The sequence below is a fragment of the Homo sapiens genome, chromosome 17 (assembly GCF_000001405.40).
Source record: "Homo sapiens chromosome 17, GRCh38.p14 Primary Assembly".
In the NCBI taxonomy this organism is placed as follows: Eukaryota; Metazoa; Chordata; class Mammalia; order Primates; family Hominidae; genus Homo; species Homo sapiens.
In genome coordinates this window covers 27,924,731-27,941,271 of record NC_000017.11, presented here as the reverse complement: position 1 = coordinate 27,941,271, position 16,541 = coordinate 27,924,731, and the positions used below count along the sequence as shown (strand labels likewise).

The 16,541-nt window shown below is 44.8% G+C and overlaps 1 long non-coding RNA gene across 1 annotated transcript in view; it reads left to right on the top strand.

Moving 5' to 3' along the window:
* Positions 1 to 12,348, top strand: part of LINC01992 (long intergenic non-protein coding RNA 1992) — a 62,784-nt gene extending 50,436 nt beyond the window's left edge. Inside the window, exons 3-5 of the long non-coding RNA NR_146896.1 lie at positions 9,579 to 9,735; positions 10,547 to 10,665; positions 10,797 to 12,348. This is a non-coding gene — a long non-coding RNA (long intergenic non-protein coding RNA 1992). The remainder of the gene's footprint in view (positions 1 to 9,578; positions 9,736 to 10,546; positions 10,666 to 10,796) is intronic.
* The last annotated feature ends 4,193 nt before the right edge of the window (positions 12,349 to 16,541 follow it).

Here is a 16,541-nt window from a genome sequence, read left to right as displayed (position 1 = left end):
TTCAATACCATTCTCTGTGTATGTGTGCAGCACACCAGCCTGTACTCACTGCCATTAAATCAGCAATAAGTCTTGTTAGCATAGCATCCATATTTATAGGCAGGATTGAGTGATGCTCAGTGACATGGTATAAAGTCGAATGCCCTTAATAGAAGGTTAGGGACATGTCCTGATTTTGGAGTGATCCAGCCACATGGCAGATGTGGGAGGTTTGAGGGGACTTAAAGCTTTAGACTGTTTTGAGACAGTGTCACAGAGACTTGGAGGCTGGCAGGCGATGACAGTGTCCTGCTCTGTTGCCGTCAGAACAACAGGTCAGAAAGTACGTTGCAGATCCCGTTGGAACTGGCTGGGTTCTTTCCACTCCTCTGGACCTGGGATGTCCAGGCCGGGCATTTGCCCGAGCAACACGAGTTTCTTGTAAGATTCTTTGTTAATTACCTCCTTCGCTAGGTAACCATCAAGTGGTTGTCAGGAGAGTCATATGTGATAGGCCAAGTCCTTTATCTTATCAGTAGGGGAGATTGGCTGTGTGGCTGGCACCTTGTCAGCCAGGGTTCATGGGTATAACATGTCCAATGTGTCTAGCCCAACAAACTCAGATGTGTACAACTCCAAAGTCCACGTCCTTTTTACTAATACTGAGCATCTCTCCCTAGAAATTAAAAGCGGACTCCTTCATTTCCTGTTTCTCATTGCAAAACTTTGCCGTGACTTCTGATAAGCACACAGGTGCCCAGTCACCATCTTGTGACCAAATGCTGCCCAAAGAGACGCAGCATGACCTGCTCACTCCATAGGGTCCTGCTTCTCCCACCCCAATTCCATAGCACTTGCCAAGTGGTCCTGCCCATCTGAGGCAGCTTCATGCTTCACTGGCTGCCCATCACCCTTCCCGGCCCAGGTAAGGTTCGGGAGCCTCCGGAGCTTACCTGCTCATCAGTTCCCTGATGAGCCCCAGGGCTTACCTGGTCTCCCGCTGCTCACCTTAACTCATTAGATTCAGGATCTGGGAGCTAGAAGGAGCATAAGAACTTGGCCTAACAGTTTCATTCTGCAGACAGGTCAGAGGCACAGAGGCAGGGGTGGGGAGGTCCCCTTCCCCCTTCACAGACACCTGGTGTCTCTTCACCTATTGTTCAGCAGGGGCTGGCAGCTCCCTGCAGTGTAATCACCCTCAGCTCATTAACAGGCTGTGCTCATTTGCATATCTAAATATCCCTGTACATAGAAAACAGAGACTATTACATCTTTCCCTTACGTGTATACATGAAAAAAGCAGAGAGGAGGCAGACAGGAAAGACAGATCACACCCCTTTCCCCATCCCTCCCAGTCACCTGTTGGTCAGTTTTGTTTTGCTTTTCAAACCAGCCCATTTTTTCCTTGCAGACAGAGCATCAGTAAACTATCTTGTAGCTACTGCCTCCTTCATTTTCATATGAAAAAGCTATGAGTCTGCCCTATTTTTACTTTCCTTAATTTTACCTCTTCTCTGGCTCCACTTCCAAAAGGACACCCCAACCCCTCAAAAAAAACAAAAACAAAACCAAAAAACCATAGCCTTCTACATCCATCAGCTTTATGCAAATGTATCAACACACCCACCCTCATTCAGCATGCTCAGAAACAGGAACTGTCTATCTATAGATCAGCCTGATTGCAGTTCATTTTTATACAGTTTAGGAAGCGTGAAAAGTCACAGGCTGGGGATAAAACAGCCTGAAATCGTCATACAGATGATCATGGCACATGTAGATCATTTATTCCAGGAGTGCCTTGATGGGCCCCCAGAATTCACCCCTATGGATTTCTCATCAGTTTGTAGGGAAAAATGGTGCTCTAATGATGCCATCTAGGGTTATGCCATCTTAATCATAGGTGGGGGGCACTCATCGCTGCCCAGCTGCCAGCTTTCTGGGAAAATATCTCCAAAACAGCAGACCCCAAGGCAGGAGGATCTGCCCTGAGAGATGGAGTGGCTGGGGGTGAAAGTCTGGACAGTAGTGGGACTTGCTCCCAGCTTTGTACCTTCACCCACTCTGCAAGCATTTATTGGGCCCCCTACTGTGTTCACAGTGCACTTTTAAGTGCTTGCTACGTATCATTCACTATTCCAATTGCTTTACAAATACTAACTCATTTAATCCTCATCACAATCCTCAATCCTATGAGGCAGGTGCTATTATCCTCACTTTACAGATGAGAAAACTGAGACACAGAGAGGTTAAGTGACATGCCCAAAGTCACACAGCTGATAAGTGTGAAGCCAGGATTCTAACTCAGTCAGCCTGGCATCAGCCTGTGCTCTCAATCATTATGGAGAGCTTTCCATGTAGCCGGAACAATGACACAATGCGGTGACGACTATTTGTCCCTTGCTTCTCTGCATCCATTCACTCTTATTCTCTTCTGGGGAATCCACTTCGCCTGGAAGTAGCTGGGGTGCATTTGGCTCCATTCCCACCTCCTGGGGTAGGTTTCACTGGTCTAGGCAGCTCACCAAATCCCATTCTCAGCCACCCTGATTGGTTGGGATCAGGCACATGGATGGCCACAGAGAGTGAATCCCAGGGGTTCTGAGAGAGACTCTCTCTTCCACATGACAGAGCAACGTACGGAGGGGATGGTGCTGGGTGGGGTAAGTGAGAGCTGAAGGACTAGCATGTGGAGCTTAAGGATGGATACATGGAAGCCAGAGCAGAGGCAAAGACACCACTCAAGTCTTTGCTAAAACTGTTTAGGCTACTGGATCAGGCTTTGCCTAAATCTAGTACCATCTTCAAACTTTTCAATTGCACAACACATAGTAGGCTCTTGATAGATATTTGCTGAAAACATGAGCTAATAAAACCCCTTTATTGGGTAAACCAGTTTAAGTTGAGTTTTCTGTAATTGGCAACTGAAAGATTCCTATCTGATATACACACATACTTGTGATGAAATAAACATAAGAAAAATGTGGTATATCTGTACACAGCACACACCAGGAGATTAGTTTTGTTAAAATAATATTTTGGGCTGGGTGAGGTGAATCACGCCTGTAATCCCAGCACTTTGGGAGGCCGAGGCAGGCAGATCACCTGAGGTCAGGAGTTCAAGACCAGCCTGACCAACATGGAGAAACCCCGTCTCTACTAAAAAATACAAAATTAGCCGGGCGTGGTGGTGCATGCCTGTAATCCCAGCAACTCGGGAGGCTGAGGCAGGAGAATCACTTGAACCTGGGAGGCGGAGGTTGCAGTGAGCTGAGATCGCACCAGGCATGGTTCCTGGGTCTGGGTGTCTATTTATAGTAGAAGAATGTTTCTTTAATCTGGGGACTTTGTGAAAGTGACAAAAAGATTTGTTAAGGGTAAGTGAACCCACACTCTAAAAGGAGACCTAGACGTAGAGTGTGATACATATTTATAGATTATAAATGATCAAGTCTCAAAAGTGTTCTGTAGCAGATCCTCCCTTCCTAAGGAATGGCAGTGCTGGGGGCCTGGGATGGCCTGGGTTCCTGCTGGTTTGCTCTGAGCTCCCAGAACTAGAGCCCAGCCTACCTCCCCTTCTGGGACATTTAACACTGAAGCCAAGCATTTGGTTCTTTTCTTGCTTAATTCTCAGACCTTAAGAACTGGGTTTGATACAGCTCCGATGAGTGGAGGAACACCAGGGTTCTTGGTCCTCATGCCGGTTTAGATAAAACGACACAGACACAAGTAGAGTGGTTTTATGGAGTGGATCGTTTAATAGGCAAGAAGGAGGAGAGAAGACATAAGAAGCTCCCCCGTACAGAGACAGAGGGAGGGGGGCTGCAAAGCCGAAAGAGGAGGTGCCCGCCTGCCACGGATACCAGCCAGGTGTATATGCAGAGGCTGGAGGAGGCGATGTCTGATTTGCATAGGGCTTAGGGGATTGGTTTGACCAGGCATGTGATTCATGTAGCCGGAGAAAAAGCTGGCCCTCCCACCCTAGCCTTTTAATATGCAAATACAGGGCACCATGATGTTCTACACACATGGGGATTTGTGGGGGTGGCCATGTCACCAGGCACATGTGGGGCAAGGGCAAGAAGAAAAAGGAGGGAATGGCCATGTTTGGGTGGACCCAGCTTCTAATGGCCTGGATTTGCATATCAAAGGTTATCAAAGTTTGCCGGTCTGGCTTTACAAGAACATTTTCCAGAGATGTCTTAAAAAAAGAAAACTTCCCAAGGACCCCTTTTTCTCTCTATCTGCCTAAAATAATTCCTTAATAACTACTACAACAGGTTGAAGCTGGGTATGGTGGCGCGCGCCTGTGGTCCCAGCTACTCGGGAGGCTGAGGTGGGAAGACTGCCTGAGCCTAGGAGTTCGAGGCTGCAGTGAGCCATGATTGCGCCACTGTACTCCAGCCTGGGGGAGAGACCGAGAGAGAGCTGAGAGAGAGAGAGACAGATAACTGGGTTGCTACCAGTCTCTGTGTGTGGAGGGCTGTTTCCCTCGTTGTGTTATCCCTGGCTGCTGCCTCTAACCTTCTAACCTAAGGGTTCTATGTTTGCTTTCATCTGCATTGTAACCATGGGGAGTCACTTCCTGCTAGGGTCCAGTCTGAAGAGGGACCCTCGGTTATGCAGAATCAAGGAAGATGACTAGGAAACCAGCCCCCCAAAATCAGAAGTTCACGTCACACATTCAGCCAAAAACTAAACCAGTGGAAATGATCCTTAATGTTTGATTCCTCTGACCCCCTGTCATGAGCACCTTTACAGACGGGCAATGTCACACTCCCCTTGCTTCTTCTGAATACTCCGACGCTTCTTTTTTGTTTGTTTGTTTGTTTTTGTTTGTTTTTTGAGACGGAGTCTCTCTCTGTCGCCCAGGCTGGAGTGCGCATGATCTCGGCTCACTGCAAGCTCCGCCTCCCTGGTTCACGCCATTCTCCTGCCTCAGCTTCCTGAGTAGCTGGACTACAGGCTCCCGCCACCATGCCCGGCTAATTTTTTTGTATTTTTAGTAGAGACGGGGTTTCATCGTGTTAGCCGGGATGGTCGGTCTCGATCTCCTGACCTCGTGATCCGCCCGCCTCGGCCTCCCGAAGTGCTGGGATTACAGGCGTGAGTCACCGCGCCCGGCCATTCTTCTTGTTTTCAAATGTGTATTTAACCTTGTTTTCAAATGTATGTTTGCAAATGCAAGTTATCAGTTTCCTCTCCTGGATTTTTCTTTTTAATTTTTGGTGCCAGCACAGGACCTCTCTGTGATACCTGTGTATCACAAAGCAATTCTTGGAAGGCTGTGTGTGGAATAGCGGGTCTCGGGTATTCACAGTTGCTTAAGATACATGAGAAAGCCTAAATGTAGGTAAGTGTATGAAGGAGCTGGGATGATGGTCCCCGACCCCGGCTGGCAAGCACTCTCTTCCTTCCTCCCTGTAATACAGGTCTTAAAAACAGCAAAGCTCTATTTTAAAATTTAGAGTCTGTGGAATTTTCTTCCTTGCCCAGTTGATGCCAGAATGTTCTCTGGGTTGTGCGCCAGTAAGTCTCCATGTCCTCCCTCTCCCCTGCATCTGTTCCCTTCTCTAGGGCTCAGGTGTCCAGCCTCTCCTCCTCCCCTTTACCCAGCATGGGTCCTGTGTCATAGCATCAGAACACCCTCTCCCCTGCACCTCTATTCCTCAATCCTTGGTCTTTGCCCCCCCTTGAAATCTCCGTCCTAGAGTAATGCTGCTGCTGCTTCTCTCCTCCACTAACCAGGACGGAAGACCACTGCTGGAGAAAACCACAGAAAGACCCAGAACAGCCCCTCCATGGTCCCCAGTCCCAGCCCTCAGAGCCGTCCTAGAGCAGCCTCCTTTCCTAATCCCCTCATTAATCAAAGAAGAAAGTGTCACTGCTTGCCTCAACTTCCCTCTTTACTCTTGCTCTCTTCCATTTCACTAGGAGAGTCTGCCCTTTCTGCATGAGAAAACTGAGGCCATCAAAGGTGAGAGACTCAGTTTGCTCACTCCACTTGCACCTGTTCTTTACCATCTTTCCTTAAGAAAGAACAAGTATCTTTCCTCCCGTTCAACACTTATCCTTTGACTTTAATTCCTTTCCCTCCTATTCTAATTTGGGCCTTGCCTCATCAATTTTTGCACCCCCCCAAATCCTTTACCAAATCTCTAACTGCTACTGCTCAGCCTATAAATACGCAGAACAATTTTGCTTTTTAACAAAACCCTTATTAACACAAGGCCCCCTGTAGCTACCCTTTAAACTTCCTCCTTTTCTTTCCTTTCCTTTCCAATTCCTCAGCAGAGGTCTTTGTAATTCACTGTCTCCTCTTCTTAACTTCCTGTTCACTCTTGAACTCATTGAAATCTGATTCTAACCTTAACTTCAAGGAATCGCTGTCATAATGGTGACCACCTTAATTGCCAAATCCATCAGGCACTTTTTGGTCTTTAATTGACCAGACCCTTCTACTGCCCCTGACACTATCAATTCCTCCTTAACATCCTCTTCCATGACAGCACACTTTCTTGATTTTCCTTGTAGCTCTCTGATTATATCACTCAGGACTTTTGGTCATAAATGGCAGAAACCCAACTTCAACTAGATTTCTAATAAGAGTTGGAATGAATTAGCTCATGTGGGAAGCTCTGATAAAAAAAGCAATATGGACGTAACTTAGGAAAGACTGTGAAACCACCTTTGCAAAATTATGACTGAGACAGTGAAAGAGATCTAACTTAACCAACTCCATCTTGCTTCTAACCTTCAAGCTGTCCTTGTTCATTCTTGGGCGTAGGCTGAACTAACTTTGGGAGAAACTTAGTTTATAGTTTAAACAAAGACAGCAACAGCCCTTTCCCAAAGCAGACCTCCTTCTTGCCCGGGGACCGGATTGCCTTTGTAGGACTAACATTAGCCACAAGATTAGAAATTATGGTTTAGGAGTCATGCAGCTGGAGGCTACAAGATTCTGACCCATCCTAAACTGCTCCTAAGATCAGTGCTTGAGATATTTTGCAGACCTTGCAGTTGATAGATCAGCTGGCACCACCCGGATCAATAAACTGGGTCATCTGATCTTGTGGTCCCCACCCAGGAGCTGACTCAGTGCAAGAAGACACCTTCGACTCCCTATGATTTCATCTCTGACCTATCAGCACTCCTGGTTCACTGGCTTCCCCCCACCCATCAAGTTATCCTTAAAAACCCTGCTCCAGAATGCTCAGGGAGACTGATTTGAGTAATAATAAAACTCCGGTCTCTGGCACAGCTGGCTCTGAGTGAATTACTCTTTCTCTATTGCAATTCCCCTGTCTTGATGAATTGGCTCTGTCTAGGCAGTGGGCAAGGCAAACCTCTTGGGCAGTTGCAACTGTACTAGAGATGATGGTGGCAGAATTCTCCAGGCCTTTTGTCGCTTCTCCTTTTTCCATGATGACTTCATTCTCTCAGATGACTATGGTTTGAATGAGTCCACTCCAGAATTCAGGTGTTGAAACTTAATGGCTAATGTGATAGTATTAGAGATAGGGCCTTTAAGAGGTGAATAGGCCATGAAGCTTCTTTCTTATAAATGAAGGCTCTTATAAAAGAGGCTTCATGTGGCTCCCTTGCCCTTCTGTCTTCTGCCATGTGAGGACACACGATTCCTCTTCTCTGGAGGATGCAGCAACAAGGCATCATTTTGGAATTACGGAGCGGCCCTCACCAGGCAACCAAACTGGCAGGTACTTTGATCTTGGACTTCCCAGCCTTCAGAACTGTGAGAAAATGTTTCTGGGCTTAATAAATCACCGAGTCTCAGGCATTTTGTTATAGCAGCACAAAGAGACTAAGACGACAGGTCTCTCCATGTGTAAGAGATATTGCCATCAATGGCTCCTGGCCTTGAACATCATAGAAGGTCTGAGAACTGCTTTCCTTGAACCCAAGGTAAAAGAAAGCTCAAAGAAGGGCATTGATTGGTTTATTGGGGGTCAAGTGCCCATACCTGGACCAATTACTATAACTGGCTAGTCACATTTAATTGTAGTCTGGAAGGCAGGGCCTATAAGAAGGTGGCAATTCTCAACTGAACAACTGGTTAGAAGAATTATTTCCAGAAGAGTGATGCTCTTATGAGTATGTATAACAATAGATGTCCATTATCTTGGCCATTCCTTTTTGATCTCTTTCCTATGTCTACCTCCTATATCCTGGTGTTCACCGTGTATATTAGTTGGGATTGGGTATAGCAAAGAATAACCAAAAAAAAAAAAAAAAAAAAAAAAAAGCAACATTGACTTGAACAAGATAATTGTTTAGCTGTCATACAAATGTCCAGATATTTGCAGTCCAGAGCTGGTATGGCATCTCCACTTCAGGAAGTCCTCAGGATCACAGGTCTTTCTCTAGTTTGGATGTTGTACCCTCCAAATCTCATATTGAAATTTGATCCCAAGTGGTGGAGATAGGACCTAATTGGAGGTGTTTGGGTCAGGGGGGTGGATCACTTATGAATAGATTAATGCCTTCCCTGGAGGGTAGGGAGACTGAATGAGTTCTCACTCTATTAGCTTCCATGAGAGCTGGTTGATAGAAAGCCTGGCTCCTCCCCTACCTCCCCCTCTAGCTTCCTCTCTTCCCATGTGGTCTCTGCACGTGCTGTCTCTCCTACACCTTCTGACATGAGTGGAAGCAGCCTGAGGCTTTCACCAGATGCCCAGTCTCCCAGAGAGCAGAATTATAAGCCAAATGATTTTTTCTTTATAAATTCCCAGTATCAGCTATACATTTATAGCAACACAAATGGACTAAGACAGTCCTCTTCCAATTAACTGCCCTACAATTCCTTGGGAATGATCCTCATCCTTGTGAATCAAGGCAACATCCAAGTTCCAGGGAGCAAGATGGAAGAAAGACAGAGAAAAAGAGTAAATAAAGGGCATAAACTACCTCATAAGGGAATTTTCAGGAAGGTGACACTAACATCCCTTTAGCCTGAACATGGTCATACCTAGCTGCAAGGAAGCCTGGGAAGTGTAGTCTTTACTCTGAAGCCCATGTGCTCAGTTAAAAATTCTATTACTATGGGAGAAGGAAAAAAATGGACATAAGGTGGCAAAAAGAAATCATTGCTACTCCAGGGATCATCCTAGGCCCACTGGTTCTTAGTGTGCTCTTTCTTGTTGATCTGATTCACACTCAGGGTTTCCATTTTTACTTGTGTGTTAATGACTTCTGATTGCCTCTCTTGAGCTTGGATATCTCCCTGAACTCAGATTCATATATCCAAGTGTTTATTGAACGCCAGGGTATTATCAGGCACCTAAACTCAACATGACCCAAACTGGCATCTTTCCCACCAAAATTAGGTCCTTCAGCTTAAAATATCTGATCACCATTAAGTGTAGGCTATAGACCACCCCAGAGTTTTTGGTGGAGGGAAATTATGATACAGTCATAGTGAAGAGGCTGGTGTGTTAGAATTGGCCAGACCTGTGTTCAAATCTGGTTCTGCTTCTCATTCGCTATGAGAATTGAGGTGAATTCCTGTAGTAGTTTGCTATGGCAATGGTAATAAAGTCTCACAAACTAGATGACTTAAACAATAGAAATTTATTGTTTTACAGTTCCAGTGGCTAGAATTCCAAGATCAAGGTGTCAGCAGCATGGTTCTTTCTGAGAGCTGTGAAGAAGAATCCGTTCCATGCCTCTCCCCCAGTTTCTGGTGGTGTGCTGGCAGTCTTTGGCATTCTTTGGCCTGCAGACGCATCACCCTAATCTCAGGTATCATATTCCCTGTGTGCATGTGTCCTTGTGTGTGAATGTCTGCTTTTTATAAGGAGACTAGTCATATTGAATTAATGCCCATCCTAATAACATCATTTTAACTTGATTACCTCTATAAAGACCTTACCTTCATTTTGAGATACTGGGATTAGGACTTTAACATAGGAATTTTGGGGAGACCCAATTCAACCCATAACAATTACTTAACCTATCCTTGGAGGATAATAAGACAAAACATAATAAGAATGCTGAGAATGAGGTTGGGTGCAGTGGTTCACACCTGTAATTCCCGCACTTTGGGAGGCCAAGATGGGAGGATCACTTGATACCAGGAGTTTGAGACCAACCTGGGCATTATAGCAAGATCCTACCTCTTAAAAAAAAAGAAAAAGAAAATTAGCTGGGCATGATGGTGCATGCCTGTAGTCCCAGCTACTTGGAGGTGAGGTGGGAGGATCATTTGATTCCAGGAGTTCAAGGCTGCAGTGAGTTATGATCATGCCACCATGCTCCAGCCTGAGCAACAGAGTGAGACCCTGACACTAAAACCACCAAAACCAACCAACCAAACAAACAAAAAAAGAATGCTGATAATGAGATCCATATTGCAGAGTTATTGTAAAGATTATGATATTGTAAGTGAATCTTCCAGGCACAAAGTTGGTGTTTAATAAATGCCAGTTTCCTTCTGTCTGACTGTAGACTTAACTGTAATTTTGAGGCTCCTGGAGGAAAAAGAAAATGTTTCAGGGATGGTACAAAACTAGAAGATGAAACTATAGTGAACATTTATTATTCTCTTTGGTAGCCCAGCTCCGGAACGCCTTTCCCATGTTTGGTGTGTTTTCTACCTAATGAGTTTTGATGGAAGTGAAGGCTGTTATTTACCTCTGGAAGCTAAAAATACCAGCTCCCTGGTCATCTCAGGTCAGTCCCAGGGGGACTCGGAGTCTCTCTGTGTAGTCTTCAAGTCTGGTTTTCTAGCCCCCCGCTCCTCCAGAGATTCTGTGAACTATAAATATCCTTAAATAACTTTCTCTCCTGCTTAAATCACTTAGAGTTGGTTTCCGATGCAACTAAAAACATCAACTGATATGAGGTCCAAAAGATGGAATTTTAAGCACCAAAGACGCTCCCTTATGGGCAAAGTCTCAATAGGACATCTGCATGTTCAGTTGAGATTCTGCTTTCCCCTCAGATGACAGAATTATTGGCAACCAGTTAAATTGACGCAATTGGAAACCCAGAAACATGATCAACAAAGATAAGGAGATGGAGATACCAGTCACCCCTATCAAAGTGGCAAGTGGGAGGGGGATGCTGGTTGGTCTGTCGGAGCTGACGAAGGAATGGGATTGGAATGTTTCTTTTACCAATTATGTAAACACAGCCTGGAGTTCCGAGATGAGTCCATCTCACTTGCTCAGAACTTTGCCTGGTGAGAGCGGTTACAAGCGAACAAGGTGGAAATGAAAGAAACCCTGACTTTCCCACTAGGAAGGAAGAGACTGTTCCTTCTTGTGATGTACTCTGAAGAAAAATTCTAGGATTTGGACAGATTTCTTGGGTTATAAAACATGATTTTCTTCTCTGTTTCTTGGGCTTTTATAATGGGTACTGTTGTTTTCTTGCAAAGCTTTAATGATTCCATAAGGACTTGTATAAAGTTTATGGGAGAATTTTCAATGTAGATGTGAATGGCAGAAACCCAAGAATCTGTGTGAGGTTGAATAAGATCCTGTGTCTCCAGAGAGGTCTGATGGGGAGACACAGATCTAAATTTTAAAGGTGGTTTGGGCCTTCTCAATCATATATTAAGGTCCTTTTATGTTATAGATAAGTAAATTAAGGCCCAGAAAGATTAATAGCCCAAGGTCCCAAGACCTGCTTGAGACCTGTGCCCCATTTCTGACTAATATTCTTCATGATATTGTATCACTCTGTATCAAAACCAACCAACCAATAAAACCAACCAACCAACCAACCAACAGAAAACATTCAGGAGAGTGAAAATGCCGTCTGTGCAGACAGATTTTCCTTATTTTAGGAAATGGTTGGAGTCAGTGCATTTGAAGTTCAATGAGTGAGCTTTATCCTAAAAAAGCTGCTTCCAGGCCTGATATGTTCCCTGAAACATAAGGACATTCCTCATTCAAGGCTGTTTGCAAAGATCTAAATGAAGGCTGTTATTAAACAAACAAAACCCCAACCTCTCACTAATGTCAGAAATCAGAAAATGAATTATCTAAGTATTGTCTACTGACTAGCTAGCACTATGCAGGTATGAGTATCAGAGTTCTTCTCTGCTCTGTAAGCTATAATCCTCCAGGCTCTTTAGCCTAGGGGTAGAAAATGGAGTCCTCACCAGGCGCGGTGGCTCACGCCTGTAATCCCAGCACTTTGGGAGGCCTAGGTGGGCAGATCATGAGGTCAGGAGTTTGAAACCATCCTGGCCAATATGGTGAAACCCTGTCTCTACTAAAAATACAAAAATTAGCCAGGCGTAGTGGCGCCTGCTTGTAGTCCCAGCTACTCAGGAGGCTGAGGCAGAAGAATCGCTTCAACCCAGGAGGCAGAGGTTGCAGTTAGCGCAGATCCTGCAGCTGCACTCCAGCCTGGGTGACAAAAAAAAAAAAAAAAAAAAAAAAGCAGTTCTCTTACCAAGCAGTAGTTCTCTTCTTGCTTTGCTTCCACTTCCCCCTTTGTGATGAGAGTCCTTGGCAGTGGTGTTGATAGGTGTCCCCTAGTCTGGTCCTCTTATCCGTACCCTCAAGCCCTCCATCTCCAAATTCCTGCTCTAAGACTTCAGCTTGTCACCAGGTGCTTCCTGCTGATATCAGCAGAAGACGCATGGCTGCTGGTACCCGCCAGCATCCATGCTAAGGTGGCCAGTGCCCATTGCTGACAACTTTTCTATCTGTGCCAAGGGTACTGCTTCCAGTAGCAGCCAGCCCCATTTTGGAGTCATCACTGGTTGCGGTCTAAGCTTCTGGAACCCAGGCTGGGATATCTTAGGCAATAGCTTTGGTTGGCTTCCTTCAAAAGCCATTGCAGCCCACTTGGCCCAACTCACTTGATCCCCATTTAGACTTGGGACCTTCTAGGTTACCAGTTGAAGGACAGTCTTGAAGACAGACATTTGATGGTGCTCATATCATCCCTCAACCTCTTTGTCTTGGCACCAAACTGGGTTGCCTTATACAAAGGTGTTCAATATTTTGGCTTCCCTGGTCCACATTGGAAGAAGAAGAATTGCCTTGGGCCAAACATAAAATATACTACCACTAACAGTGACTTATGAGCTAAAAAAAAAAAAAAAATCACAAAAAACCTCATAATGTTTTAAGAAAGTTTATGAATTTGTGTTGGGCTGCATTCAAAGCCCTCCTGGCTGCATGTGGCCTGTGGGCTGTGGGTTGGACAAGCTTGCTCTGGAATAATCCAACTCTTATTTGCTGGGGGACTTTCAGCAAACAGCTTACCCATTCTAGATCTTATTTTCTTGTCTGTAAAATACAAATAATACTTGACTCATTGGGTGGTTTTGAAAATTAAATGAGATCAAATATTCCATGTGACAGGCATGGAGTAAATATTCGGTGAGCACAAGTTATTCCTAGGAAAGTCCTCAGCCCCTTAACCAGCTTTTGAAACACATCTAACTCCTAGAATCATTTTACTGTTTTTTACATATTTGTTTGCACTTATTGAGTGCCTTCTGTGAGGCAGAGATAGTGCCGAGTACCTGGCATTCATTATTTCATTTATTTCTCACAATGGCTCTGTGAGATAGGTACTACTAAAGCCTTGTGTTAAGGATGAGTAAGGTGAAATCCACTGAGATCAAGTGGACTTGCCCAAGGACATCCTTCTCTCAAGTGGTAAAGTTGGAGTTTGAACCCAGAAAAAAACAAACTCCAAAGCTTGTGACCTTGACCGCACTGATTGATATATTATCATTCCAAGGTGAAAATAGCTTAGTCTCAAGCTAGTCCCTTGTGGCAAGGTTCTTGTGTGTGTGTGTGTGTGTGTGTGTGTGTGTGTGTGTTTGGACAATTATTACTGGCAAAAATTCTGAAATGCCATAACCAAGAAATCCCCAAAGCCAGGGCTGCGGTCCTTTAGCTGTCTGGTGTGTTCTGTTTGTTTGTCCAGGAATGCTGGGACCCAGGTGCCTCTCTCATTCCCTGATTCAAGCTGGGAAAGGCATGTGGCCCTGGGAGAAAGGGTGTTTTTTCTTTATGCTTTCACAAGACTGGCCTGGGCCCTTCCCTTTTATATCAAAGGTACCACATCTTATTTTAAAAATTTTAAAAAACTTTATAGAGACACAATGTTGTTTTTGTTTATTAAATTGTCATGCTTTGATTTGTTTGTTTGTTTTGAGACAGGGTCTTACTCTTTTGCCCCGGCTGGAGTGCAGTGACACTATTAGGGCTCATGGCAGCTTGGAGCTCCTGGGCTCAAGCGATCCTCCTGCCTCAGCCTCTGGAGTTGCTGGGACTACAGATGAGTGCCACCATGCTTGGCTAATTTTTAAATTTTTTGTAGAGAAGGGGTCTCACGTGCCCAGGGCTGGTCTCGAACTCCTGGGCTCAACTGATCCTCTCACTTTGGCCTCCCAAAGTGCTGGAATTATAGGCATGAACCACCATGTCTGGGGAGTATTGTTTATTTTTGATACTTTTTTGTTTTGATATAATTTCTGACTTATAGAAAAGTTGCAAGAATAGTACCAGGCATTCCCATATAACCTGCTCTCAAATTCACCAATTGTTCACATTTTGTCCCATTTGTTTTCTCTTTTTCACTCACTTGCTCTCTCTGCATTTTTTCTAAGCCATTAAAAAGTTAGTTGATGCCTGTAGTTCCAACTACTCGGGAGGCTGAGGGAGGAGTCTCACTTAAGCCCAGGAGTTTGAGCCCAGGCTGGGACACATAGTGAGACCCCATCTCTTAAAAAAAAAAGCAAGTTGAAGCCATCATGCCCCCTTATTCCCAAATACTTCAGTGTATGTTTCCTAAGGACAACCATATAACCATAGTAGTTATCAAAATCAAAAAAATTTTACACTTGATACTAGACTATTACCTAATGTATAGTTCATATTTAATTATTTTTTCAATTATCACAATAATGCCCATTACAGATGTTTTCTGGGTCCAAAAACCACTTCAGGAATACATACTGTTTTAAATTATCAGGTTTCTTTAATTTTCTTTAATCTGGAACAGTTTCTCAGCCTTTCTTTGTTTCTTTTTTTAGACAGAGCCTCACCCTGTTGCCCAGGCTGGAGTGCAATGGTGCAATCTCAGCTCATTGCAACCTCTGCCTCCTGGGTTCAGGTGATTCTCCTGCCTCAGCCTCCTAAGTAGCTGGGATTACAGGTGCCTGCCACCACGCCCAGCTAATTTTTTGTATCTTTAGTAGAGACAGGGTTTCACCATGTTGGCCAGGCTAGTCTCGAACTCCTGACCTCAAGATCCGCCCGCCTCAGCCTCCCAAAGTGCTGGGATTACAGGCGTGAGCCACTGCACCTGGCCCTCTTTGTGTTTTTTTTATCTTGACATTTTGAAGATTAAGACCAGTTATATGGTATAATGTACCTAAATTTGGACTTGTCTATTATTTTCTCATGATAAAATTCAGGTTCTGTATTTTTGACAGAAATACCACTGAAATGATACTGTGTCCTTCCCAGTACATCCTATCAGTGGACACAGGATGTCAGTTTGCTCTAGTATTGGTGAGATTAGCTTTGGTTTCTTGCTTTTTCTCTACTATAAAGTTACTGTTTTGGGCTGGGCACAGTGGTTCATGCCTGTAATCTCAGCACTTTGGGAGGCTGAAGTGGGAGGATCACTTGAGTCCAGGAGTTCAAGACCAGTCTGAGCAACAAAGTGAGACTTCGTCTCTACAGAAAAATTTAAAATTGGCTGGACATGGTGGTGTGCACCTTTAGTCCTAGCTACTGAGGAGTCTGAGGTGGGAGGATCTCTTGAGCCTAGGAGTTCAAGGCTGCAGTGAACCATGATCATGGCACTGCATTCCAGCCTGGGCGACAGAGCAAGACTGTCTCAAAAAATAAATAAATAAAGTTACCATTTTTCCCTTGTAATTCATACATAATTTGTGATAGTCTTTTTTTGTTTCAACTTTTTCTTCTGTGCCAAAATGTCCACAGCAGCTCTAACATTAGACCTAAAGCAGGAACTGAGCTGGTTCTAAAAGAAAATCCCAGTCTCCTCCTCAGCCAAATGTCTTCTTTCTCTCCTTTATTTTCTCAGTGGTTTTTTTTTTTTTTTTTTTTTTTTTTTTTTTTTGAGACGGAGTTTCTCTCTGTCACGCAGGCTGGAGTACAGCGGCATGATCTCAGCTTACTGCAACCTCCGCCTCCTGGGTTGAAGCAATTCTCCTGCCTCAGTCTCCTAAGTAGTTGAGATTACAGGCGCCCACCACCATGCCCGGCTAATTTTCTGTATTTTTAGTAGAGATGGGGTTTTGCCATGTTGGCCAGGCTAGTCTCAAACGCCTGACCTCGGCCGGGTTCGGTGGCTCACGCCTGTAATCCCAGCAGTTTGGGAAGCCGAGGCGGGCGGATCACCTGAGGTCGGGAGTTCAAGACCAGCCTGACCAACATGGAGAAACCCCGTCTCTACTAAAAATACAAAATTAGCTGGGGTGGTGGCACATGCCTGTAATCCTAGCTACTCAGGAGGCTGAGGCAGGAGAATCGCTTGAACCCGGGAGGCGGAGGTTGCGGTGAGCCGAGATCGCGCCATTACACTCCAGCCTGGGCAAG